Below are 27516 nucleotides of genomic sequence, written 5' to 3'. Positions count from 1 at the left end.
TTGGATGCTGTGTGCCAACCAGTACTGTAGTATTTACATATGTTAAACTTATTGAATCCTTACATTCGCCCTTTAAATTATGTATTATAATATCCCCTATTATAGATAAGAAATCGGAGGCAATGAAGGTTAAGTAATTTTCCCAAGTTCACACATCTGGTAACTGTAGCCACCAGGATTTCAGCCCAGAAAGTCTGGCTCCACAATCTATCCATCTAACCATTACACTATACTATATCTCAAGTGTAAAATATATTGATTATCGTACAGAAGCAGATAGTTAAAATTATTTTATTGATCAGTAATGTCATCCACATTTGAACATGTATCATGAGGCAGCCAATTCGTGCTTATGTATTTTATTAAAACCAATTATTACTGATATGTAATTTTAATTTAAGGAAGCTGTTAAAACCTATGATTATAAGCCAACTCACAAAAATTTTCATAGTATATACTTACTCTAGAATTTAATGTGTAAATAGTGACCTCTGAGACAATAACAAAACTAATTGTCGTAGACAATGAAGTATTTGAATCATCCCTCATGGTCACCAAAACAACTGAGAAAAAATGTAAATCTTATGATTCTGGTCTTACTGTTTAGAGCTTTGGGGATTAAACATCTCTTTCAAATACAACTGTTCTGACCATGGGTATCAGAGATAACCACTAGAGGTACCTCATTTAAATGATATCTGCTCAGAGCAAGTTTAGTTCCACAATCAATATTTGTGCTTTGAATGGTAAGATTTTTCTGTAGCTAAGTATAATTGTAGTGTTGGAAATCTACATTATTTAAGAGTAAATTTTATATTATAATACATTCACAACCAAAAAAATATGAAAATACATTTTCTTATTTCTTTGTCCTATAGTTTTCCTTCATATTAAATAACTTTTACATCTACTAAACCTGCCCTAGTGAAATATTAGGGTATGGTCTAATTCTAGGCTGGCATTTTCTATGACACTGTACTCTAGTAAAGTTAATTGGATGCAGTCCCAATGGTTTAGATAATCTTTTTGATTATCTGAGTCTTCAGGTAATACTGGGAAATTTTGTTCAATTCTGATTCTGAATTATCCGGTTGCTTTTCCTAATGTTTCTCTATGGTCAAGACCTACTTGCAGGTTGATTTAAACTCAGAACAAGAAGTAAGAATTTGTGACAGGTTTCATCCTCTTACTTGAAGTCATATATTCGAGAAGGAGGAGTCCTGTTGAGAATCTCTACCCTAACACACTTTGGGAAAAGCAGAATTCTCCGTGGCACTGCAGGGAAATCATGAGAAATTTACAGCCCTGGAGAAAAAAATGCTTAACCGGGATCTATTTTCCATAGTGTGGATTCTACAAAAGTCGAGAAGTAGAATGGCAAAGGAACTCCCTCTGGATCACAGTAATGTTCATCCTTAATCTCTTGGAGAAACAGTATGCCTGGATTGGTAAAACAATTTGTAGAAAGTAGAAGAAAAAGAACTTAGATCTGTATGGGCTGGTTTTATTTCAGAAGTCTGAGAATAAATATTGATCCAGCAGAAACAAAAGCGAGAAAGATAGATTAAATTGAAAATGAAGAATTCAGATACTTGTTTTTAATTTTGTTTTGTTTTGTTTTTTAATGCCATTTGTGAAACTTGTCAGCAAAATATTTTATTCTTGAAGGTTGTGGAGCCATAAAGGACTCAGATTTTATGTATCCATTTCTAAATCTCATACTGTGCATGAAAATTTATTTGAAGATTTTTCTATGTCACTTTTTAATAGGCAGAAGGAGGATTTTTATTCTTTCCTGAGTTAATCTTTATGGACTGTAGTAATAATGAAATAGTTAAGAAATTAACAGCATAATATTGATTTTAATTTTAAAAGAATTTTCAGGTTTTTATATAATTTTAACTGAAGCCCTATTTTATTCAGAAGTTAGGCACAATTATACACATCAACGAGTCTGTTAAAATAAATAAGCATTAATTATTGATGCCCCTGCTCAGACATTATGGAACTTTAATGGGGTGTGACAGCTTGAAATATCTTTCAGAGAATTATTTTTCTTTCTATCCAATTTGATTAATGGCAAAACTCAGAATCAAATCATAATTTTTGAAAAGCTAATGCTAAAGAAATCACAAAATGATTTTCTCAAAACGGCTATTTCAACCACCATCTCCGGTTAGTCTCACAAATGTATCCACTTTTGAATCATGGCCACAGTTGGAAGTAATTTCTTAATAACATTCAAAAAAACATATTTGAAATGGCATAACAAACAAAAAAAGCACAACTTTTTGTACTACATCTATATAAAGAGAGAGAAGAAGCACCAGTTTGATATTTATCTGGGTTTTGTTTGTTTTTGAGACAGGATCTTGCTCCAGCACCCAGGGTGGAGTGCAGTGGTGCAATCATAGCTCACCGCAACCTCAAACTCCTGGGCTCAAGTGATCCTCCCGCCTCAGCCTCCTGAGTAGCTGGGACTATAGGAGTACGCCACCACACCTGGCTAATGGCTGTTATTTTTTAACCAAATGTTTTATATTAGCTTTTTGACCACTTTATTGAAGTATGACTGACATACAAAAGCAGTACAGATTTAATGTATACAACTTGATGAGTTTGAAGGTGAGTATATACCTGTGAAACCATCAACACAATCTATCCCATATATACATCCATCACCTCCAACAGTTTCCTCCCACCTTCTTTATTGTGTTGTGTATGTGTGTGCGTGTGATGAGAACACTTAACATAAGATCTACCCTCCTAGCAAAATTTTAAGTATACAATATAGTATTTCTTAAATGTAGTGTAAAGTGGCTGACAAGTTTTAAGGAGATGGATGACATGATTTCATCAAATGTTGTAACAATGTAAAGGCATAAGACTGGATGCAAGGACTGGATGCAAGACTATTGCCAGAATCCAGAAAAGAAATCATAGTGATTTGAATTAGGGTTGTGGTGGTAGGGATTTTTTAAAGTGATAGGATAATTAGCATATATATTTGCATCCAAATTTACCAGTTTTGGTGATAAGGCGTTAAGAATGAGAGAGACAAGGCGTCCAAGGGTAAACACCAGATGTCCTACATAACAAACTAGGAGATCAAAGGTGCTTAGTCACTAAGATATGAAAAAAGAAGAACAATCTTTCCTCACTCTTTTTTAAGGTTTATTTTTAATTAAGCAACAATTGTATATGTTTATGGGGTGCAATATAATGTTTTAATATATGTTTATAATGTGTAATGATTAAATCAGGCTAATTAACAAACCCATCACCTAACATACTTATTTTTTGTGGTGAAAACACTTAAAATCTACTCTTAGTAATTTTGAAATAAACAATGCATTATTGTTTATTGTAGTCACCATTCTGTGAGATCACTAAAACTGGTTCCTTTTTTCTAACTGAAACTTAGTACCCTTGATCAACATCTCCCCTTTTCCCATCCATCTCCTGCCCCCACTCTCTACCTCTATGAGTTCAACTTTTTTGGATTCCATATATAAATGAAATCATGCAATATTTGTCTTTCAGCTTACTTCAGTTAGCATGATGTCCCCAGGTTCATCCTCCAGGTTATCACATCTTTTCCTCATCCTACCATTAGCCCAGTACTTAAATTTTATAGGTGAATTTACTGATCAAATAAAAGAATATGTTCATTTTATCAAGCTAACTAGCTTATAAAGAATCATAGGGTCATTTTAGAACCAGCATCTATTTCAAACTTTCAAATCTACACGTTAGATAATTCAGACCTCAAGTTTAAAAGTGAACTCCCCAAGGTCACCTGGATTTTTTTTAAAAAATCTAATATTAAACTCATTGCCATAAAAGAATCTATGACAAATAGCAGATTTCTTGGCTGTAATTTTTACTTTTATCCATTAAATTTTTTCAATTAGTAACATAAATTATCTCTCTTTGTTTAGTTCTAATTTTATCAAATTATTTAGATAGTTCATGTTGACAAATTGTTTCTTCCTCTTTTCCTTTTCTTCTTCCTCTCCCTCCTCCTTCTCCTCCTCTACCTCTTCTTCCTTCTTCTTCCTTCTCCTTATCCTTGTATCATCATCTACCTCCTCCTCCTCCTTTTCTCACTCTAGGATTTAGACATTGAAGGACTATGGACCAAAGCAATTATAGTTCTTTACATGGTTTTATTCTGCTTGGCTTCTCTAACCATCCAAAAATGGAGATGATCCTGTCAGGAGTTGTCGCCATCTTCTACTTAATTACATTGGTGGGTAACACAGCCATCATTCTTGCATCTCTCCTGGATTCCCAGCTTCATACACCAATGTACTTTTTCCTCAGAAATTTATCTTTCCTAGATCTATGTTTCACAACCAGCATCATCCCTCAGATGCTGGTCAACTTGTGGGGACCTGATAAGACCATCAGCTATGTGGGTTGTATCATCCAACTCTATGTTTACATGTGGTTGGGCTCAGTTGAGTGCCTTCTCCTGGCTGTTATGTCCTATGATCGTTTTACAGCTATATGTAAGCCCTTGCATTATTTTGTAGTCATGAACCCACATCTATGTCTAAAGATGATTATCATGATCTGGAGTATTAGTTTGGCCAATTCTGTAGTATTATGTACACTCACTCTGAATTTGCCCACATGTGGAAACAACATTCTGGATCATTTCTTGTGTGAGTTGCCAGCTCTGGTCAAGATAGCTTGTGTAGACACCACAACAGTTGAAATGTCTGTTTTCGCTTTAGGCATTATAATTGTCCTCACACCTCTCATCCTTATTCTTATATCCTATGGCTACATTGCCAAAGCTGTGCTGAGAACGAAGTCAAAAGCAAGCCAGCGAAAAGCAATGAATACCTGTGGATCTCATCTTACTGTAGTGTCTATGTTCTATGGAACTATTATCTACATGTACCTGCAACCAGGTAACAGGGCTTCCAAAGACCAGGGCAAGTTCCTCACCCTCTTTTACACCGTCATCACTCCAAGTCTCAACCCGCTCATTTACACCTTAAGAAATAAGGACATGAAGGATGCCCTGAAGAAACTGATGAGATTTCACCACAAATCTACAAAAATAAAGAGGAATTGCAAGTCATAGATAAAGACTAGAGTGAATAAGGCAATTAAATATGTTTTCTAATTTTCTTTAATTTTTACAAATGCAAGTAATTCCTAGGTCATGGAGATCCATAAATATAATTATTATATACAAACATTTTGTAGATGCAAACAAAATTACAACCATTCTACTTAGCTCCTTTATGTCCCTGATCATTGGTATATCATCAGAGAAAACAGATCATTAGAAATTTTATTTTTGCTTGAAATAAAACACAAATGGGATGTAAACATAAATTTGAATGCATTTAATTTATTCTAAAACCACATAGAAACTGTTTTGGTTATCTAGTTTTGTATTTTCAATGTTAATCCTTGCCTCTTCCAAAGTATAGACCTGAGCAAATGGTTTCATATACATTATGGTGTGTATATTAAATAATATACCCATAATGTTCATTCTATTGGAGCTTGAGAAAAAATATACATATACACAATAATGATTTTGTACACCCAATCTTTTGTAATGCCACCCAAATATTTATTTGTGTTTGATGCAAACAGTGCAGTTTATAAGACAGTAATTGTCATAAGCCCCATTTAAAACAATTCACTCTTTTTTCAATGAAATTTCAAATCGATATCTTGAGTAAAGGGTCTCTGCTATTTAAGTCTATTACTACTCTATCGTAATATAAAGCCACAAATTAAAGGGTTTTAAAGGTAATGACACAGTCTTATCAATTTCTCTTTCATTCGTTAAATGTTTATTCCATGATTGTCTCAACTTAATGGAAAGATAATATGACTAGTTTGAAACCAGTTAGGCTTTTGACATACATCTGTGGAACTGGCGGATTTACGTGAATTTTTAGAAATGTGGTAATGTTTATATGTAGTGGAATTGCATAACAGAATAAATCTTTTTATTTCTATTTATCATAATATAATATTTAGCTTTTATGGGACAATGTGATTACTTTTTAATTAAACTTTTATTTTTGCCATGATCTGATACCTTTCTCTAAAAGTGCCCATTATTTAATAATAGTAGCCAATCTAGATAGATCTAGAAAGACACACTGCTAGAATCTAAAAATATATATTTTCTCTTCCATCATGTCATCTTTAATGATGAGCAGCACACCACTAGCATTTTGAGTTGTCCCTTTCTTTGGTGTACCACTGGTTTTCACAATGTGGATAATATGTTACAGTAAGATCAGGAGAGATGGTAATTATGCCTTTCTTTTGTGAAGGAGGAGAAGGGATCTTTGAAAGTGAAGGCTGGAAAGAGAACCTGTCTAACTCCTCAACCTGGCATTTCCTCAAGAAAATGTTAGCGAAGAAAACAAAGGAACAAGGAGGATCTGGAAGTTATTTCCTTAAAACTAACTTTATAACCCTACAAAAGTCTCTGCATCCCAGAGTGTGCCCCCCCGTTGAAGCCCATTGTCTTAGACTATGGTTCTCTTAACAAGCCATACAAATCTCTATGAAGGTTAGAATTGCATTGTTTTGTAAATATTATTTATAGAACTGATAAGCCTCTAGCCAATGTAATTATAAGTTTCTTGAAAGCATAATTTTGTATAGTTCTTTCTCGATTCACCATCATATAATAGGGTTCCATGACTCTTAGTAGGCATTGAATATTTTTAACGATTTGGATGAATTTTTCAGTGTTCATGCAAATGTTTGTAAACAGAGCAAAAATCATCTTGTTATCATTTTTAACTAAAAAAAACATACACAAATATGAGCTAAGCAGAATATCCCAAGCCTTCAAAAACATGTCCTAGAAAATTTCGGAAATGTCTTACCTTGACCTGCATCATAATTATGCTTAATTACTGTTGTGGAGCACCAGTCTCAACGGGCTTAACAATATCCTGAAACTAAGTCAGCTCTCTTAGATTTTATACCCATCACATTTATCTTTTTCTAAGGTTAGCCCTTGGCCAGGGCAGGAAAATGTTTCTGCCACTCACAAAACACTCAGTAAATAGGTAATTTTCAAAACCACATATGCCTAGTGTTGGAAAAATGCAATATAATACAATCTAGTTTATTGCCTATTTTCCTTTCATATGGACATCTCCAGATTCTTCCACAAGAAGTTCAACTCTGATTGGTACCAATTAACCACAACATGGTAGATGTTGACTAGTTCAGACAAGGAAATTCATAATGATTTATGATTAAAGATAAAAGCAACCCTTCTGAGTCAACCATCATAACTTGAGGAGTGGTGGACTAAGAAAACCATAGTAGAAAATGCACATAATGACTCCCCTCAGTGCAAGTAAATAGCTAATTCTTTCAATATTTCTCTTCTTTAGAAGACTATAATCTAAAAAATACATTATTCAAATTCAGAGAATCACGAATATCTAGAGAAAATGAAATGCCATTTTTACTGTATCTGTTTATATTCATAACAATTATTAATTTTCTCTCATTTCTTAAACAAAAACTTATAAATGGATTCAAGCAGAAGATGCTATGATACTCAATTGTCATATAGTGATGAATTTTGAAGTACAGGAACCTCTAGAGGTCAAATACATATATATGCACTTATTATCCAATTCTAATCCCATTATTTTAATTGATGTGTTTGGGTATCTTTGCAAGTACATACATTTACCTACTTTACAATGAATATTTATATCTTAAATAAATTTACTGACATGTATTATTGAAGTATGTTGCATAAAAATGATATGGCATATCAAATTTTCAAACATGCTGTAAAAATTAAGCTAATTATTAATTGGTAACATTTTTCAAGCAATACCTGGGTATAGATGCTGATAATTTATAAGTCTAAATATGTACCCAACTTACTGAAGTACATTGATTCATTTTATCACTTTTATAGATATCAGTTCATCCAGGTCTCTGGCATTTCTGATATTGGTTTTTGTATTAATACATAAGTTAATTTTTTTTTTGAGATGGAGTCTGTCTCTGTCGCCCAGGCTGGAGTGCAGTGGCACAATCTCAGCTCACTGCAACCTCCACCTCCCGGGTTCATGCCATCCTCCTGCCTCAGCCTCCCGAGTAGCTGGGACTACAGGCGTGTGCCACCACATCCGGCTAACTTTTGTATTTTTAGTAGAGACAGGGTTTCACCATATTGGCCAGGCTGGTCTCGAACTCCTGACCTCAGGTAATCCACCCACCTCGGCCTCCCAAAGTGCTGGGATTACAGGCGTGAGCCACCGTGCCCAACCTGCATAAGTTAAATTTTAAAATTCTTTCTACTTTCTGAAGAAATTCTGACACTCTCCATTGTATTTCTGAAAATTATTTTCTATGGGAGAAGGATTCTATTATTTTTGAGGATTTTTGTTTAAAATACTGCTCCTGATAAATTTTTAACCTCCTCTCACAGTTGAGTCCCTGTGGCCACTGTCCTTACCAATTTCTACTGTACGAAACAGCTTCTTCTCCACTTAAAGACTATTTCTTGTCCTCTTGCCAGTGAACCAAGCCTATTTTCTTTTATTCTCTAAAGTACCACTAACAAGTGGGGAATGCAGTTAGTGGGATTTTCATAAAGAACTGGGAATAATAAAGGAGGATTATACTGCAGGATAAAAAGGAAAACATTGCCTAATGAATATTTGACTTCTTAAAATTCCTTAGCAATCCCTACCACAGAGCTTTGCTCTCTGGATGTCTGCTTTTTTAGGTCCCCCTTGCTCCATGTTTTGGAAGATCTTATTTACTTTCGGTCCCAACTTCTATTCCAATCTGTCTTTGTCTCTGACCTAGGACCTCCAATTCTTTCAACTGTAGTGTCTGTGAAGGAATAATGTCACTATCACTTAGAGAGAAATATTTGTCTGGCTCTATCTTCTATAAACACTAGAATAAGGGGTAAAGATACACTCACCTTGCATTAGAAAATAGAATTTGTTGTTTTAAGTAAAAGAACACCTTTTCTTCTGCTGCTGCTGCTCCATTCCTCAGAACACAGATGCAATTAAAACAATTCCAATCTTCTATTTTTCCCCATTACATCCCTTAACTAAAGAGTATACAATTTTGATCCATGTGATTATAAGGAGCACATATTTGGTATTATTACTAAGAAGCTTTCTGTATTAATAATGCATATTTTTAGCTCACACTTTTACAATTTAATTTATACAAACCTTTCTACAATTCAGTGATTTCTCTTTATATTGATGTCTTGAATAGAACTGACCAAGTTTATGTTTCAATGAATAAAATTTTGAAATTGAAAAATAATACACTTTTTGAAACTATCTAGGTGGAGAAGTAACATGAAAAGGATTTTTTAAAAAGAAGCTACTTCCATGTCCTGAAAACCTGGAGTAATATTTAATGTAGAGTAATTGTGTAGAAAATTTTCTAGTACCAATAAGTACCCATTTATGAATATGTGGGTCCATTCCCAACACTGGAGCAATTCCAGTACCTGTTTTCACTAATTGTACTCCCAAATTCCAAATCACTGTGTAGAAATTAATTCTACTAGGTAATTAACTCCAGGTCAATTTATTCTCTTTAAAATCAGTTGGATGGAAATGTTCCTTGGTAGTTCTTTTTATTTATGTTTTCTTACCAATCTCATTATTCTTCATAGACAAGTTTCTTCAGAGAAACACTTTGTCATGGTAACTGTAGTATACTTTAAAACACTTTGTCAGGCTATTGATATAAGTGCATTTATTCATTCAAATATTACATTCTATGGGCCGGGCACAGAGGCTCACGCCTGTAATCCCAGCTCTTTGGGAGGCCGAGGCGGTGGATCACGAGGTCAGGAGATCGAGACCATCACAGCTAACATGATGAAACCCCGTCTCTACCAAAAATACAAAAAATTAGCTGGGCGTGGTCGCGGGCACCTGTAGTCCCAGCTACTCGGGAGGCTGAGGCAGGAGAATGGCGTGAACCCGGGAGACAGAGCTTGCAGTGAGCCCAGTGAGCCAAGATCATGACACTGCACTCCAGCCTGGGAGACAGCAAGACTCCGTCTCAAAAAAAAAAAAAATATATATATATATATAACATTTTATGGACATGAGTGGCTCTAATCAGTAAATGTACACTATTAGATGGGGAGGTCAACTAGCATTTAGCCAGAAAGGCTGCCCTCCAAGGCAGCTACCACAGGACCTTCAGTTATCTACCTCTTGGTCAACATTTGATGCCTAGCCAACTCACATAATAATTGAGGTTTAAATCAGTTATCATCCTGAAATTAGTGGTACCAAATATATGAGGGTCATCTAACATATTTTAGAAACATTCCCTATTCTTCTATGAAGGGCATAAGAACCTAGCAAGATGTGTAGCCTAAACTTTAGGGGTAGTGCCCAAGACTTGTTCCCTAAATGGGCCTGTGTCCTACTATGGATAAGTTCCACTTTCTCAATGCTGACATGAAAGTAAAACCCTACCTCTGTTGTCTTATCTTCTTCAAATACACCTTTCTACAAGGTACTTTGGAGTATTTTAAAGGGCAGAGAGCTGAGGATTTATTAAATTTACAGAGAAGATGACATAAACTGTCTTATGCTAATGTCTGGTTAACTAATCTCTATATTCATGGCAGAATTTGATCAGAGTCATTTTCATCATAACTGGGACATAGGATTGTGGTGGTAAATGCTAACCATACGCCCACTTCACCTTTTTCAGCCACTATGATTAACTACCAAAAATGACCCTGTTGCTGAGCATGACCAAATTGGGTTAGGCTAGTTCAAAACACACTCTATTTTTCTCATTAGACACTGTTCATTACTTCTTAATTTGTTGCACCTTGCTTTTAGTCCCTCTGAACTAAAATGCTTAAGAGCAAATATCAACTAGAGTTTCTACTCTGTTGTTTTACATTAGCTGAAAAATACAGGTATATCCCCCAAAAAATAAGAAGAAAGAAAACTATCATTATTTTAAGATAACAGAATCCACTCCATTTTTAACACAAAAAAATTATGTTATTAGAAATCCCTATAGACTCCGTGAAAAAGAAATATACAGAATAAATATTTAAAATCTTCTGCACAGCAAAAGAAACTACCAACAGATTAAACAGACAACCTACAAAATAGGAGAAAATATTTGCAAATTAAGCATCCAACAAAGGTCTAATATCCAGAATCTATAAGAAATTTAAACAAATCAACAAGCAAAAACAACCCCATTTAAAAATGAGCAAAGACATGAACCAACACTTCACAAAAGAAGACATACACATGTCCAACAAGCATATGAAAACATGCTCAGTATCACTAATCGTTAGGGAAAGGCAAATCAAAACCACAATGAAATACCATCTCACACCAGTCAGAATGGACATTATTAAAAAGTCAAAAAATAACAGATGTTAGTGAGGTTGCAGAGAAAATGGAATACTTACACACGGCTGGTGGGAATTTCAATTAGTTTAGCCACAGTGGAAAACAGTTTAGAGATTTCTCAAAGAACTCAGAACTACCATTTGACCTAACAATCCCATTACTGGGTATATACCCAAAGAAATAAAAATTGTTCTACCAAAAAGACACATTCACTCGCATGTTCATCACAGCACTATTCACAGTAGCAAAGACATAGAATCAATCTAGATGCCCATCAGTGGTGGACTGGATAAAGAAAATGTGACATATATACACCACAGAATACTATGCAACCATAAAAAGAATGAAATCATGTCCCTTGCAACAGCATGGATGGCAGCTGGAGGCCATTATCCTAAGTGAATTAATGCAAAAACAGAAAACCAAATACCACATGTTCTCACTTATAAGTATGAGCTAAACATTGAGTACACACAGACACAAAGAGGGGAACAACAGACACCTGGGCCTACCTGAGGGTGGCAGGAGGAAGGAGGGTGAGGATTGAAAAACTACTTATTGGGTACTATGCTCACTATCTGGGTGACAAAATGATTTGAACACCAAACCTCAGCAACACACAATTTACTCAAGTAACAAACCTGCATATGTACCCCTAAACCTAAAATAAAAGTTAAAAAAAAAAATTTAATTTAAAAAATACATATATAGCTCTCCTAACAACAATAAGCAATGAGCAATTAAATAAAATGATATCAATAAAGATGAACTTAACATATGTTGAACATTTTTAAGGTATTATTAATCTTTACCAAGAAAAAGGGAAAAACAAATAAAATGAGACATGCCACATTCTTCAAAAAATAACTTTTAAATATAAATTTAAATGCAGACATTTCAAATAATTGTCTGCATTGTGTTTGGATTGTAACAAATTTATTTCAAGATTTATTTGGTCAAATTACAGCTTAGAAGAGTCAAGCCATTTTCATAAACGAATAATAAGCAAGGATTTGCTCTGGCCAGCACTGAAATACTATCAAATATTACTAAGGGTTTGATTTGGGGTCAAGAGCAGTGGCTCCTGCCTGTAATCCCAACATTTTGGGAGGCCTAGGCAGGAGGATAGCTTGAACTCAGGAGTTGGAGACCAGCCTGGGCAACAGAGTGAGACACCCCTGTCTCCACAAAAAACAAACAAATAGCCGGGCGTGGTGGCCTGTGCCTGTAGTCCCCGCTACTCGGGAGGCTGTAGTGGGAGGATTACGTGAGCCTGGGAGGCCGAGGCTGCAGTGAACAGAGATTGTGCCACTGCATTCCAGTCCGGGTGACAGAGTGAGGCTCTGTCTCAAAAAAGAAAAAGAGTTTGATTTGCATATGATTGAAACAACATTGCCTCAAAACAGACCCTAGTGTGTTTTACATTACAACAGTAAATATGAAAAGAATGACATTACAAATTAGTGTGTGATGAAGGCCTATTTGTTGACCAGCGTGAGAAAACTGATGAAAGATCTAGAAATAAAATTTGTCAGTAAAAACAATACCTAAAAAACATACATTATTATAAATTTTAAATTGATTAAAAAATGTAGAGAGTTCCAGCAGAGATCCCAGGCCTGAAGCAGCGGCGAACCTGTCTTCCCCACCCCACCTCGGTGACCTGGTGGCCGCCGGCACACAGCACCTTTGGATGGCCGCGGGTGTGCCGGGCGGGAAGAAACACGCAGAGGCTGCTGGGGTGCAGGGCCCGCGAAGGCGGAGTTAGGGAGAGGCCTGGCCTCCTCTTTAGGCCACGGCGCCGCGCAGATGCTGTCCTCGGGGGACCTCTCTGTCCCAATTGGGTGAGACCTACCTGGTCCTGATGACAACAGACAACAGCCTTAACGGCCGGAAGGTCAGCGAAGTCCCGGATGAGGACGGGTGGAATGGTAGCGACCATGGGGCAGTTGGCCTTCCTTCTACCAGACGTTGATGTGGGAAAAGAGAAACGGAGTAACAGGACACATTTAGCGATTTGGAGATTCCCATCACGCTTTGGGAGGATGTACCGGCGTTTATAGGAGACCTGCGTGTATAATGTGAGAAAGCTGCTCTCAGCTTCCCCCAAAACTTTTACAAGGAAACATTTGCCACATCTAGCCTTTCCAGATGTATAGAGGTTACCGACCTATGATAGAGTTAGAAAATCACACATGGAATTTTTTAAATTCCATATTACAGAGTAGGTAATCAGTATGTAATTGTATCAGTGGATTACAAAATCTGGAGATTATATTCTGAGAATCTATTTTTGCCAACACAATAAGAGCCATATATTACAAGCCCACAGCTAATATCATAATGATAAAAAGTTGAAAGCTTTCCCTCTAAGATCCAGAACAAGATAAAGATGCCCACGCTCACCACTTCTGTTCAACATAGTACTGAATGTCCTAGCCAGAGCAGTTAGGCAAGAAAAAGAAAAAAAGGCATACAAATTGGAAATGAAGAAGTGAAACTGTCTCTTCTGATGACATGATCCTTTATTTGGAAAACCCTAAGAACTCCAACAACAAAAAAAGCTATTCAAATAAACAAATTCAGTAAAGTTACAGGTTACAAAATCAATATACAAAAATCAGTAGTGTTTCTATGCACTAACAATCATCTGAGAAGAAATTAAGTAAACAATCATAATTAAAAAATAAATTAATTAAAATAACTAGGTGCAAATTTAACCGAGGAGGTGAAAGATTTGTACACTTGAAAACTATAAAACACTGATATTTAAAATTACAAAAGACACAAAAATTGAAAAATACCTCATGTTCATGGATTGGGAAAATTAGTATTTTTAAAATACCTATACTACCCCAAATAAAGATTCAATGCAATCTCTATCCAAGTACCAATGTCATTTTGTAGAGAAATAGAAAAAACGATTCTAAAATTTGTCTGGATCCACAAAAATCCATAGCCAAAGTAACCTTGAATCAAAAAACAAACAAACAAAAAAAAACGGGAGGCATCATAATACCTGGCTTCAAAATCTACTGTGAACCTATAGTCATCAAAACAACAGGATACTGGCATAAAAACAGACACAAAAACCAATGGAACAAAATAGCGTAAAAATCAATCCATACATTTACAATCAATTGATTTTCAACAAAGGTGCCAAGAACACACAATGGGGACAGGGCAGTCTCTTCAATAAACGGTGTTGAAAAACTGAATATCCACATGTTGAAGAACGAAATTACATGCATACCTCAAACCATATACAAAAATCAACTCAAAATGCATTAAAGACTTAAACATAAGACTATTAAACTACTAAAAGAAATCATAGAAATGCTCCATGACATTGATCTGGTCAATGATTTTTTGGATATGACCTCAAAAGCACAGTCAACAAAAGCAAATATAAATAAATGAGATTATATCAAATTAAAGAGCTCCTGTACAGTCAGGGAAACAAATAAAATAATGAAAAGACAACCTATGGAGTGGGAGAAAATATTTGCAAATGATGTATCTAATAAGGGGCTAATATCTAAAATATATAAGAAGCTCAAACAAGAAAACATAATTCTATTTTAAAATGGAGCTGGCTGTGTTGGTTCACATCTCTAATCTCAGAATTTTGGGAGGCCAAGATGGGTGGATCACTTGAGGTCAAGAGTTCGAGACCAGCCTGGCCAACATGGTGAAACCCCGTCTCTACTAAAAATAGAAAAATTAGCTAGGCATGGTGGTACGTGCCTCTAGTCTCAGCTACTCAGGAGGCTGAGGCACAAGAATCACTTGAACCTGGGAGGTGGAAGCTGCAGTGAGCCGAGATTGTGTCACTGCACTCCAGCCTGGGAGACAGAGAGAGACTCCATCTCAAAAATAAAAATAAAAAATAAAATAAAATAATTTAAAAATTTTAAAAATGAAAATAAAAATGGGCAAAAGACCCAAATACACATTTCTCAAAAGAAGACCTACAAATGGCCAACATGTATATGAAAAATGCTCAACATCACTAATCAATGGGGAGATGTAAATTAAATGCACAGTGAGATATCACTTCATACTCTTAGAATGGCTATTGTCATAAAAAGCAAAGATAACAGCTTGGTGAGAATGTAGGGAAAAAAAGGAACCCTTGCACACCGTTAGTGGGAATGTACATTAATACAGCCACTATATAAAACAGTGTGGAGGTTACTCCAAAAATTAAAAATAGAACTACCATATGATCCAGCCATCCCACCACTGGGTATATATCCAAGGAATTGAAATCAGTATGTTAAAGAGATGTCTGCACTCCCATGTTTATGGCAGCATTATTCACAATAGCAAAGATATGGAATCAAACTTTGTGTTCATCAATGAATGAATAAATCAAGAAAATGTGGTGTACTATTCACTCGTAACAAAAAAAGGAAACCCTGTCATTTCCAACAACACGGATGAACCTAGAAGCTATGATGTTAAGTTAAATGAGCCAGTTACAGAAAGGCAAATACTACATGATCTCATTTAAATGAGGATCTGAAAAACTTAAACTCATAGAAGCAGAGAGTGGAATGGTAATTACCAGAAGCTGGGGATGGTGGTAAGTTTCCAGACCATAAATTGAGGGATAAGCTCCAGAGTGTTCATACTATTTTTAATTTGCTGAAAATAGAACGATGATAATAATTCATAAACCTAGAATTATGATTATCCCATAAATTTTTTAAAACTAAATATTTTGTCCTATAGACACAACACCTACATAACTTAATTTATCCAATTTTGATCTTACCAATTGAATAAACCAAATTTCAAGTAAATGTGTTCATTTTTATATAGTTTACATCATATATTCATTTTTCAATGTAAATTTAATATAATATATAATTAATCTCCAAATTTTTAAATTTAAAAACTTAAAAAGAAAAAGAAAAGATGAAACCCAACGTCTTTTTTTTTTTTTTTTTTTTTTTTTTTGAGACAAGAGTTTCGCTCGTTTCACAGGCCGGAGTGCAATGGCGCAATCTCGGCTGACCGCAACCTTCGTCTCCCAGGTTCAAGTGATTCTCCTGCCTCAGCCTCCTGAGTAGCTGGGATTACAGGCATGCACCACCATGCCCGGCTAATTTTTTGTTTTTAGTAGAGACGGGGTTTCTCCACATTGGTCAGGCTGGTCTTGAACTCCTGACCTCAGGTGATCCACCCGCTTTGGCCTCCCAAAGTGCTGGGATTACAGGCATGAACCACTGTGCCTGGCCGAAACCTAATGTGTTAAGAGAACTTTTCATGAAATTATTATTTGGATATGCCTCTGACCACAGTCATAGCTTTACTTAATCACCTCTGTGGGGCATCAGTCCTCAAGGTCTAAACCATATCAACATAGGTAGCCTTTAGAGCTGTAAATAAATACTTCCCTGCTACATGTTAATGATTCTTGGAATATACATTGACCAACACAGTGTTCTCCTTGTTTAATTAGGCAAAAATCTAGCTGTAAATATGAATAACAAGAGTATACATTAAAAAGACATCAAATAGCCAACCGAAAATATATTTAACCAAACCTAATTAAGGATTTTCACCAGTCCCACATTTAGTTTACTTCCAATATCCACATTAAATAGAGACTTCTATTAAATCTTATTTCAGCTGTTGCATTTAAGTGTGAATGGCACTGTAGTGTCAGTATGACCAGTGGTTAATCCAATTCTTCAGGGCATTAGTAACTCATCCAACAAGAATTTTTTTCTAATTTATTAATTAAATGAAGAAACGTCATAATGGGAACATGGGTATGTTTGGACTACATGAGAACATGACAGCTCTGAATTCTTCCTTCATGAAAATATATTCTAATCTTTTCAGCTTCTGGTAAGTATTCTCTGCTATCTCTAACAGAGGATGACTCCAGGTAGAAAACAGATCCTAGATAGCGTAAGACTCAGTCTAACATGAAAGCAAAAATGTGAAAGGTATGTGAGATATAAATAATACTAACATTTTGAGGATTAAATATAAATTTAATCCTCAGGAGTGAGGATTAAACTTCAACAAGAGCAGTTAGTGGATTTTGAAGTTACTGAATGCTCTCTATGCACCAAGCATCATGCTAAATATTTAGCATAGCATGTAATCCTCCTCATAGCCATCCTACAAAGCAGGTGCTATTAGAATAGCTATTTTACAGATGAGGAATCAGAGGCTAAAGAAGTTAATTAGCCTGCTCAAGTCCACAGAGTAAGGAAATGGCTGAGATCAATTGTAACAAAAATCACAGGCGGTCTGAACCAGTCTAGGGTCTTACCTATTTTTATTTCGTCCTTTCATCTTGAATTTTGTATGACTACAGCAATATACCTCATGCTTTATAATAAAAGATCCATATATTTTTACTTTTTATAAAATTTTAGACAGTTTTGAAATTTTGTGCTTCTAATTTTCTCTCAATATCATAAATTATGTTGAAATATGTTTGGTTCATTTGTCTCAGATTTCACTGGAGAAAGCAAAATGTTAAGTTATGCGCGATTATTGGGCTCTGAAGTCCATACTATGAAAAATGAAAAACTGAGTTTCGATTAAAATGTAGCATGCCTCTTTTTTGCCATCTATTTCTTCAGCTGGAGTGTTGTAAGTCTCATTTCAAATAACACATTCACTTTTAAATTGAAATTAAAATATCTGGTTTGAGATCCAAAGCTTAAATCAATATGAAAATGTTAAAAAGTATTAAATGAAAAGTCCTGTATTTGAGTTCACAACATTAAACTACATAAATTGTCATGCCTGACTTGGCAGCATTTCTAATAAGAATGCCTAGGGCTTTACGTGATCCAAAGTTTAAAGAGAGCCAGTAATGTCTTATACCTGCTAAAAATAACCAACGTATATTTTAGAAAATTATGCAGATCATAGACATTCACTATTCTCTTCAGTAGTGTTGCATAAGTGGAGTATCGTGCTTACTTTTATACTCACTAATTTGCAGCACTTGACAAATCATGGTGTGTCCAGGGAGAGCAACAAGAAAAAGCATGGTAATAAAAGAGCATGTAGTGGTAGGAACAGCTAACAATGTGCTTTGTCTGGGAAGAGAAATCTAAGCATATATTTGGTAACAGTTTCTAATATTAAAAGAGAGTTAAAAGGTATATAAAAAATTTTTAGTAAGCCAAACTATACAATATTGTCTAGAGGTGCACATTTGGGTAATTAACCTACTAACATGCAAAGAGGGGATTACTATAAATAGCAGCATAGTGGATACTTCAGGGGATAGGGAAGAGTTATCATTGGTAAAAGGCACAAAGAAAAGCTCCTAGGGTAATCATCAATGTTTTATTTATTGATTTAGGTGATAGTTACAAGAATATACACTGAAACTCACCAAGCTTTACTTTTTATTTGTTGTATCCATGCACTGTTCATATAATAATACTGGGGTTTTTATGAGGCCATGTTAAATTGACTTACTCTGTGTTATTTTCAGAATAAAGAAAATCAGCCAGGGCTGGGCAAGGAATCATCTTTGAGTTCAATATAAGCAGCATTGACTAAAGGAGAGAGGCTGCTTCAAGTGTAATTGACTTCCCTGTCACTGAAGTTATGCCAGTAGCAGCTGTGTAGCGATTCTGTTGAAGGATCTCCTATGCAGAGCAGAAGGCTAGATTCATGACTTCTGAGGTTTTTTTCCACTTTGAAATTCATGACCTTTTAATTCCCAACACAAACCCAACAGCAGTCAAAAGAATTTGAGTGAATTTTTTAATCAAAGCATTTGGAGACCTCAAGTCATCTCCTGCTCCTGAAGCTTTTCAGTTCAATGTGCATATTGTGATTCTGCATATTTTTGTGTATATAAAAATGTTTCTAAATTTTAAAGTTACACAAATTTTTTAAAAAACATTCCAGTTTAGTTCTAGGTCATTGCGGTAAAATCACTAGTGTGAAAAATTAATGGACTAAGGGGTAGACAGAATAACAATGACAGGTGAATATAGGTTATCATTTTTAGAATTAAAGATGAACCAAGCTCAGTTCCAAGTGCTTTTATAAATATTAACCCTCACAACATCCCTTTGAGGAAGGAAATTTTATTATATTTTCTTCATGTATAAAGAACCTCCTACACAAACAAGTTAAATAATTGCCCAAGGATACAGCTTCCAAGTGGTGAAGCTGGAATTTGATGCCAGGGACTTTGAGTTCAGAATCTGTGCAATGAAGCACTATCATTCCTTAGTTGACAACCTATTGCGAAAAATAAAAAAACTGGACACTTATTAATTAGATTTCCATTTTTGTGCTGTGAAAAACTACACCTCTATCTCATACTACTTGATAACATTTCCTTCTTTATGATTATAACATTATTCTGTTCTAACTGAAACACTTATAACAATGACATATATAAATGATCTATCTTCCCCTTGTTTTACTATATACCAGAAACAAATGAGGTTTCTATTCCATGGCCTCAAGGACACTATAAATGTAAAGTATGGTAGGTCTGAATTTCGTGGTCAGAAATTATCAGCAGAAAAAATGTTTAAACTAATTCAGCCATTAGCTCGACACCAGGGCTCAGGCCGAAGCAGGAGGATTGCTTGAGCCAAGGAGTTCCAAACCAGCCTGAACAACATGGTGAGACCTCATCACTACAAAAACATTTAAAAATTACCTGGACACAGTGGCATGCATCTGTGGTCCCAGCTACTTAGGAGGCTCAGTTGAGAGGATCACTTGAGCACCGGAGGTCCAGGCTGCAATGAGCTGTCACTGTGTCACCGCACTCCAGCCTAGGCAACAGAGCAAGATTTTTGTTTTGTTTGGTTTGGTTTTTTTGAGACAAGAGTCTCGTTCTGTCGCCCCGGCTGGAGTGCAGCGGTGCGATCTCGGCTCACTGTGGCCTCCGCCCCCAGGTTCAAGCAATTGTCCTGCCTTAGCCTCCCAAGTAGTTGGGACTACAGGCACGCACCACACCGCCCAGCTAATTTTTGTATTTTTAGTAGAAAATACAAAATTTTTCCCCACGTAGGCCATGCTGGTCTGGACTCCTGACATCAAGTGATCCGCCCACCTCAACCTCCCATAGTGCTGGGATTACAGGCATGAGCCACTGCATCCGGCCAACAGAGCAAGAATCTATCTTTAAAAAAAACAAACAACAACAACAAAAAAAAACTAACTCAGTCAGTCATTAAATATTTTGTCTACTTAGTGATATGATACAATAATCAGAAATGGTGAGATTGATGACATTTTTATCTGTATCTGTATTCTTTTAGAGCCCAATGGGGTGATGGTTTTACCTAAAGGATTTCAAAGCAATCAGAACATCCACTCATGTTGGATTGGTAAATTCCATAGATTAAAACAACTCTGGCTATTTAATGAACTGCTTTTTGTTTGAATTACCTGCCCAGCGCCCAGCTAATTCTGCTGAATGGCTGGTAAGTAGGATTGGACACAGATCGTTGTACGTGGTGGCCAAATAGTTCTGGAATTACCTCAATATTTAACTGCAACAAATCAGTAAGGCTGTTTAGATGGTGTAATATTAGTCATTAAAGCTGTTTAAAAAACATATAGGCCTTTATACATGTAAGTAAATATTAATAAGAAAGATAATTATTTCCTGGCAACAAAAAACACACTCACAAAAAAAGGCAGTGTAGTAGGGAACACCAAAATTGATAGAATAACAACAGTGCCTGCAATGTTGAGGGGTAAAAAAAATATAAGGAGGAGGAGTAAGTTGGTGGTGAGGATAATTATAATTATAATGGCTGAAATGTAGATATTTGCAAGTAAATATTGAAAGTGATTCTGCTATCAAATGGTGGAGTTTATTCCAAAAAAAGATGTCATTTAACTTTTTACCTCAAGCTTAACTCCTTCAATAATGCAAGGATTTATCATGATCAAGTGATGCTTATGTCATAGCTTCAAAGAGGAACAACTCCTCAATACATATGCCTCTCTTAAAATCACATAATTGACTTCATGATTTTATTACTTAATTGAAATACATAGAACAATGAATGACATAGCAAATTAAGTTTTTTCAATGATTTACAATTCAGCCTGATTGGATTTAGCATATTATTAATTTTGGATTAAATATGAACAAGTTGTGAGCACTGGGCCATAGGGAAATGTTAAAAGAGATGTTCCAAATGAGAGAGAGCATGCAAATAAGAGAGTTTTGGATACCCTTGAGAAACTTCAGAGATTTTCAGTTCTACCTAAACCTGACACTATTTTTGGTTACCATGATATTGCCTGCTAGCTTTTCTTAAGGAACAATGGAAACAAGCAGTGTAAGTTCTGGAACAGATTTCATCCTTCTGGGGTTTTCTGATCGACCCCAATTAGAGCACATCATCTCAGTGGTTGTCTTCATCATCTATATTGTGACTCTGGTAGGAAATACAACCATCATTCTTGTATCTTATCTAGACACCCAGCTCCATACCTTCATGTATTTTTTCTTATCCAATTTGTCTTTCTTGGACCTCTGTTATACAACTAGCATTATCCCCCAGATGCTGGCAAATCAATGGGGCCCAAAAAAATCTATTACTTATGGAGGGTGTGTACTCCAATTCTTTTTTGTCCTTGACTTGGGAGCCACAGAATGTCTTCTGTTGGCTGTGATGGCCTATGATCGTTATGCTGCTGTCTGTCAACCTCTTCACTACACCTTAAAATGCACCCTCAGCTTTGCCACTGCCTGGTTGAGTGGTCTTGCCAGTGCCTTAATTGTTTGCTCCTTGACTTTGAAGTTGCCAAGATGTGGGCACCGGGAAGTGGATAATTTTTTCTGTGAGATGCCAGCATTGATCAAGATGGCTTGTGTCTATTCAAAAGTAATTGAGATTGTTGTCTTTGCTTTCGGAGTGGTATTTCTTTTCGTACCTCTATCACTAATTCTTATCTCATATGGAGTTATCACTCAAGCTGTAATGAGGATCAAGTCAGCAACAAGGTTGCAAAAGATCCTTAATACATGTGGCTCCCACCTCACAGTAGTAATTCTGTTTTATGGAACAATCATTTATATATACATGAAGCCACAGAATACCATATCCCAAGATGAAGGGAAGTTCTTCACTCTTTTACACAATCATCACACCCAGCCTTAACCTTCCCATCTACACTTTAAGAAACAAAGATGTAAAGAGTGCACTGAAGAGAATACTGTGGATGAAAAAATCTTCAGCAGAATCATGAATTAGATGGAAAAAAGTAGAATGTAGAGCACTAAAGAAATATTGGCATTTATCAAGAGAAGTGAAATCAATTCATTTATCCAAAGCACATTCACGCTCAAAGCTTGGTGCTCTTAAATGACAAAAGAAAATTTAGCAAGCTTATGTTTTTACTTTGCTTTACTTTGTTTTACTGGTAAATACATTCAAAATCTGGAAATCCCTGTGCTAGAGAATAAACGACTCCACTTCTCTGCAAATCAGCCATTTCAGAGATTGAAAATCCTCTCTGCAAGTGAAAGATTCCCCATATCTATAGTGCCCTTGCTATGTCATTTCAAAGACAGAGTAAGCCACAGCTTACATGAAGTAATTGAGTAGGAAGATGGGAGTAATAGGGCTTATGATGTCTCTACAATCCTTAAACCCTGTGGCTTCTAAATTTCCACAGCAAGAACATCATACCTTTATTTCAAGGTTTTGATTCCTCTTTTACTTTTATTTTAGGTTTGGGGGTACATGTGAAGGTTACATAAACACGTGTCATGGGGGGTTATTATACATCTTATTGCATCACCCAGGTGTTAAGCCCAGTACCTAATAGTTATCTTTTCTTTGCAGATGACTCTAAAATTGTCAGTTGTACATACCTTGGTAAACATAAAAAAATATGAGAGAGGACAGTGAAATCAGGATAAGGAAAGCATGAAGACACTGTAAACTTCATGGTGTCATAAGGACTATGGAAGAAAGACAAAAGTATAGAATGATAAAATTGTGGCCACTAAAAAAGAGTATCAATTTTCCTTTGTTAAAAATGAGTGATCCTAAATCTTGCTAGGCATTTATCACTTAAAAACCTTCTATTCAACCTTCATACCCTGCTGAAATCTTGTCTCAACTGAAAAGTATTTATGAATCTCATCAGTCTATGGTCTATAGTCCTTGAAAACCCTGACCATATAAGTATAGGGCATTATCCCATTTTTATTTAGTTGTTTGTATGTGTGTTTGAAGAAGATGCATTGGTAAGCTTTTCAACAATATAGACCTTCTTATTCACGTGATTTTGCTGTGTCGAATCAGTTTCTGACATGAATTACATAGCCAATAAATGTCTGTAGAATGAATATGTCAATGTTTTTTATTAAATCTCCATGAAAATGTTACCAAATCTGCAGAATATCACAAATTCTCATTGGGTGATGAATATTAGAGCAATATCTTCAGTTTGTGTTAACACTGAAGATATATAAATCATCTAACACCTAAAATGTAATATATTTAAACATCTATGAGTTAGCAAAGGAAAAGATACAGTTTTTCTTTCACATACATATTATAGAATACATACATAATATTATAGAATCTTTACAACATCCCCTAGAGGTATATATAAGTACATAATGGAAACTAGAAAATAAGAGAAATAAAAGAAATTGCTCATTATCTTATCCCAGAAATGACTAAATTTTTAAATTAATTTTCTTTTAAAGTACTGTCATCTATTAAAATTTGGTTTAATAGTTTGTCTTATTTCTCTCAATATATGCCTTCATATCAGGGATGATATCATCCCCACAGGGGCAAAATTGATTCAAGGGGAGGTAGCAAAAATCTTTGGTATTACAATGGTTGGTGGTCCTCCAAAGAGCCTCTGTACATAAGCAGTTACACAATATAACTGTGGCACTAAAATTTTGTTAGAAATGAAATAACTATAATGAAAAAGTTTGAGAAAACACTTAATTTGGTGCTTTTTCCTATTTGAAAAGATGATTAAAAGAAAGACTCCCTTAGGCCAAAATGATTGACAAGGATATGCACATCCAATACACAGAATTAGTAAACTTCTAGATTGGCAATTGAAAACTGCATTCAGTAATGGTCTTCAGTTTCAGGTTAAAATGCTGGAAATTCTCTGTTATATTGGGGATTTTTTTTTTAAGTTTGATGAAAAAATCATGCCCCAAAGAGTTTTTTTAATGATAAAATTCTTGAGTTTATAGGATAGTATATAAAAAAAGAAACAACTTGCTGAAAAGTTGAAACTGAAATTGTGCCCCAAAGAATAGGAAACCAATAACTAACAGAAATCTTGAGTTTGCCAGATAGCAGATAAGAAAATAAATAACTTGCTGAAACGCTGAAATTCCCTCCATTTGTGAGATAACAAGAGTGTCCAAAATTAGTTGGAACCAACATGACCAAATGGAGTTTGCACAGAACAAGCTTGTTAATGTCACAGCCCGATTTCCACTGCATGTTTCATACTAACTCCCTTTGAATTTGCATGTGGGACCCATGAAGAGGAATGGAGATAACTGTGCATTTGAGGACTTTCTAGACCTCCCTTTTCCTTCCACCAACCACCTGCTAATCCCAGAATCCACCCGCAAACCTTTTCTAATAAAATTACTATCTTAAAGCCAGCACAGGGAGATACAGTTGAGCTAGATTCCTGTCTCCTTATTGGTCAACCTATAATAAAGAGCTTTTCTTTTCTTAGAAATCCAGTGTCATAGTATTAGCTTCTAGCACATCCAGCAGTGAGCCCCTTTTGCCTGGTAACAATAACATAATATAGTATCAAGAATTTGTGACTGGGCATGGTGGCTCACGCCTGTAATCCCAACACTTTGGGAGCCTGAGGTGGGCAGATCACAAGGTCAGGAGTTCAAGACCAGCCTGGCCAATATGGTGAAACCCCATCTCTACTAAAAATAGAAAAAGTAAGCTGGGCGTGGTGGTGGGCACCTGTAGTCCCAGCTACTCCGGAGGCTGAGGCAGGAGAATGGCTTGAACCCAGGAGGTAGAGGTTGCAGTGAGCCGAGATTGCACCACTACACTCCAGCCTGGGCAACAGAGCAAGACTCCATCTCAAAAAAAAAAAAAAAGAATTTGAGGAAACAATATCTCATTTATTTCTGGTTGTATTAGTTATCTGCTGCTACATGAACTTTTTTTTAAAGAAACAAACAGAACTTCTAGACATGATCAGTATAGGCTGAAAATCCCTTATCCATAATTCTGAATCTAAAATGGTCAGAAATGCAAAGGCATAAGAACGATACATTGGACTTTGGGGACTCGGGGAAAAGGGTGGGGGCTGGTGAGGGATAAAACACTACACACTGTGTACAGTGTACACTGCTCAAATGATGGGTGCACCAAAATCTCAGAAATCGCCACTAAAGAACTTATTCATGTAAGGAAACACCACCTGTCCCTCCAAAACCCTATTGAAATAAAAAAATTAAAATAAACAAAAATAAAATGGTCAGAAAACTAAAAGCTTTCCTTTTTTTCTTTGAGACAGGGTCTCACTATGTTACCCAAGCTGGTCTCAAACTCCTGGCCTCAAGCAGTTCTCTCAAGTAGCTGGTATTACTGGTGAGAGCTACCACACCCAGGTAGAAAACTAAAAGTTTTCATAACTCTGTTGGCAACAAAACCTGACCTGAACTGAGGTAGGACTATTTCTATCTATTCTTTACTTTCAGTTTTATTAAACAAGAGAGACTGTATGTTAAAAGAATAGAGTTCCTTTTAAGAAAAAATAATATCAGCTATTTGTCATTTGTCAGAAATGGCAGATATTTTTTAAAGAGGACACTCACTGTTATCACTAATTTATAAAACCATAGTTTCTTTCGAGTTGAAGATTCAAGAGCAATTAGAACATGTCTGTTTTAAAATATGGTAGTCACTAGGTGTAGCATCAAAAGAAAAACTATCAAAGAATAATAAAACTTTAAATTATTCTTTTTAACTTAAATGGATGTGTATTTTAAACTATTTTTATCTAAGATATTAAGTTAACATTTAAAGTTGGCCACATGAAAAGATAGGTCACATTTCATGTTCTTGTGAGTCAACTGAAATACTGAAGGAAAAAAAAAGTTTGTTTCCTTGCTAGTCATTGTACCTTGCTGGCTAGAAATGTTCCATGGAATGTGTGAGAGTTTGGTTCCAAAATGGCTGCATATAAGGAAGCTGGCTTTATTTTTCCTCCACAGAAAACCTACAACAAATACACGGTGCTGAGATTATCACCAGCAATATCCCAGAACTCAAATATGAAGATGGAACAGTGCCCGTGGCAACAAAGAAGTAAAAAACTTCAAGCAGACGCTGTAAGAATCAGACTTCCAAATCCGTGACATCCCTCTCCCAAATCTGCCTAGCACCAAGCATGTGGAAAACTTCCCCCACCTCACCGCCAGTTTCTACACTGGAAAAAGTGAGATTGAAGTGGATAACCAGTTTCCCCACCATCTTGGATTCCCTGGCAAGAGATCTGTCCCTAAGTACTTAAAGGGAGAAATATTCCCAAAGACAACCAGAGAAAAAGTGGGGAGGTGGGACTTCCTTCCCCAACCCTAGAAACACTCTTCTTTAACTCAGCCAAAGGAGACGCCAAATCAGCGAAGCTGGTCAGCAGCGACACACCATAGGAGGTATGTTCCACAGGTTCCCTGAGCACGAAATTCTAGCCAGACTTCCCACCCTATTGGGATATCCCCCGTAAGACCTTCTACATTTGGGTCCGGCAGTGCTCCAGTCATTTACTAGGGCCAAGGAAAACCTGGACTGCAGACTCCATGTGATGTCAGAAAGAAGGCAAGACCAAGAGGGCGAAAAAAAAGTAGATGCTGTCATGCTTTCTGTACAGCCTGCAGAACCATGAGCTAAGTAAACCTCTTTTCTTTATAAATTACTCAGTCTCATGTGTTTCTGTATAGCAGTGTGAGAACAGACTAATATACATGACTTCCCCAAACAGACAAAGCAAGGAACCAATGACTTACCCTAGGCAAGACAGTGGTATGTGAGCTCTCTCACCAAGAATTCAAAATAGCAGTTTTAAAGAAACTCAGTGAACTCAAGGATAACACACAAAAGCA

The 27516-nt window shown here is 35.9% G+C and overlaps 1 protein-coding gene, 2 long non-coding RNA genes and 1 pseudogene across 3 annotated transcripts in view; 3 read left to right on the top strand and 1 right to left on the bottom strand.

Moving 5' to 3' along the window:
• OR2W1-AS1 (OR2W1 antisense RNA 1) overlaps nucleotides 1-13290 on the bottom strand; it is a 40720-nt gene extending 27430 nt beyond the window's left edge. The window contains exon 1 of the long non-coding RNA NR_125387.1: nucleotides 13261-13290. This is a non-coding gene — a long non-coding RNA (OR2W1 antisense RNA 1). The remainder of the gene's footprint in view (nucleotides 1-13260) is intronic.
• OR2W1 (olfactory receptor family 2 subfamily W member 1) lies at nucleotides 4136-5098 on the top strand. The gene has a single exon (NM_030903.3). It carries the CDS (start codon nucleotides 4136-4138, stop codon nucleotides 5096-5098), a length of 963 nt encoding a protein of 320 aa, NP_112165.1.
• A 28-nt stretch (nucleotides 13291-13318) lies between the features above and the next one.
• LOC105375002 (uncharacterized) lies at nucleotides 13319-27328 on the top strand. Its single transcript, XR_926667.3, has 4 exons — nucleotides 13319-13486; nucleotides 20684-20848; nucleotides 25929-26079; nucleotides 26629-27328. It is a non-coding gene; the product is annotated as an uncharacterized LOC105375002 (long non-coding RNA).
• Nucleotides 21704-22631, top strand: OR2AD1P (olfactory receptor family 2 subfamily AD member 1 pseudogene; annotated as a pseudogene).
• Nucleotides 27329-27516: the final 188 nt, after the last annotated feature.

The sequence above is a fragment of the Homo sapiens genome, chromosome 6 (assembly GCF_000001405.40).
Source record: "Homo sapiens chromosome 6, GRCh38.p14 Primary Assembly".
In the NCBI taxonomy this organism is placed as follows: Eukaryota; Metazoa; Chordata; class Mammalia; order Primates; family Hominidae; genus Homo; species Homo sapiens.
The sequence above is the reverse complement of the archived record's forward strand: the minus strand, read 5'-3'. Positions and strand labels throughout refer to the sequence as shown.

Bases quoted from the DNA above. Each gene is read 5' to 3' on its own strand.
- OR2W1 (NM_030903.3), top strand. From the start codon at position 4,136: ATGGACCAAAGCAATTATAGTTCTTTACATGGTTTTATTCTGCTTGGC.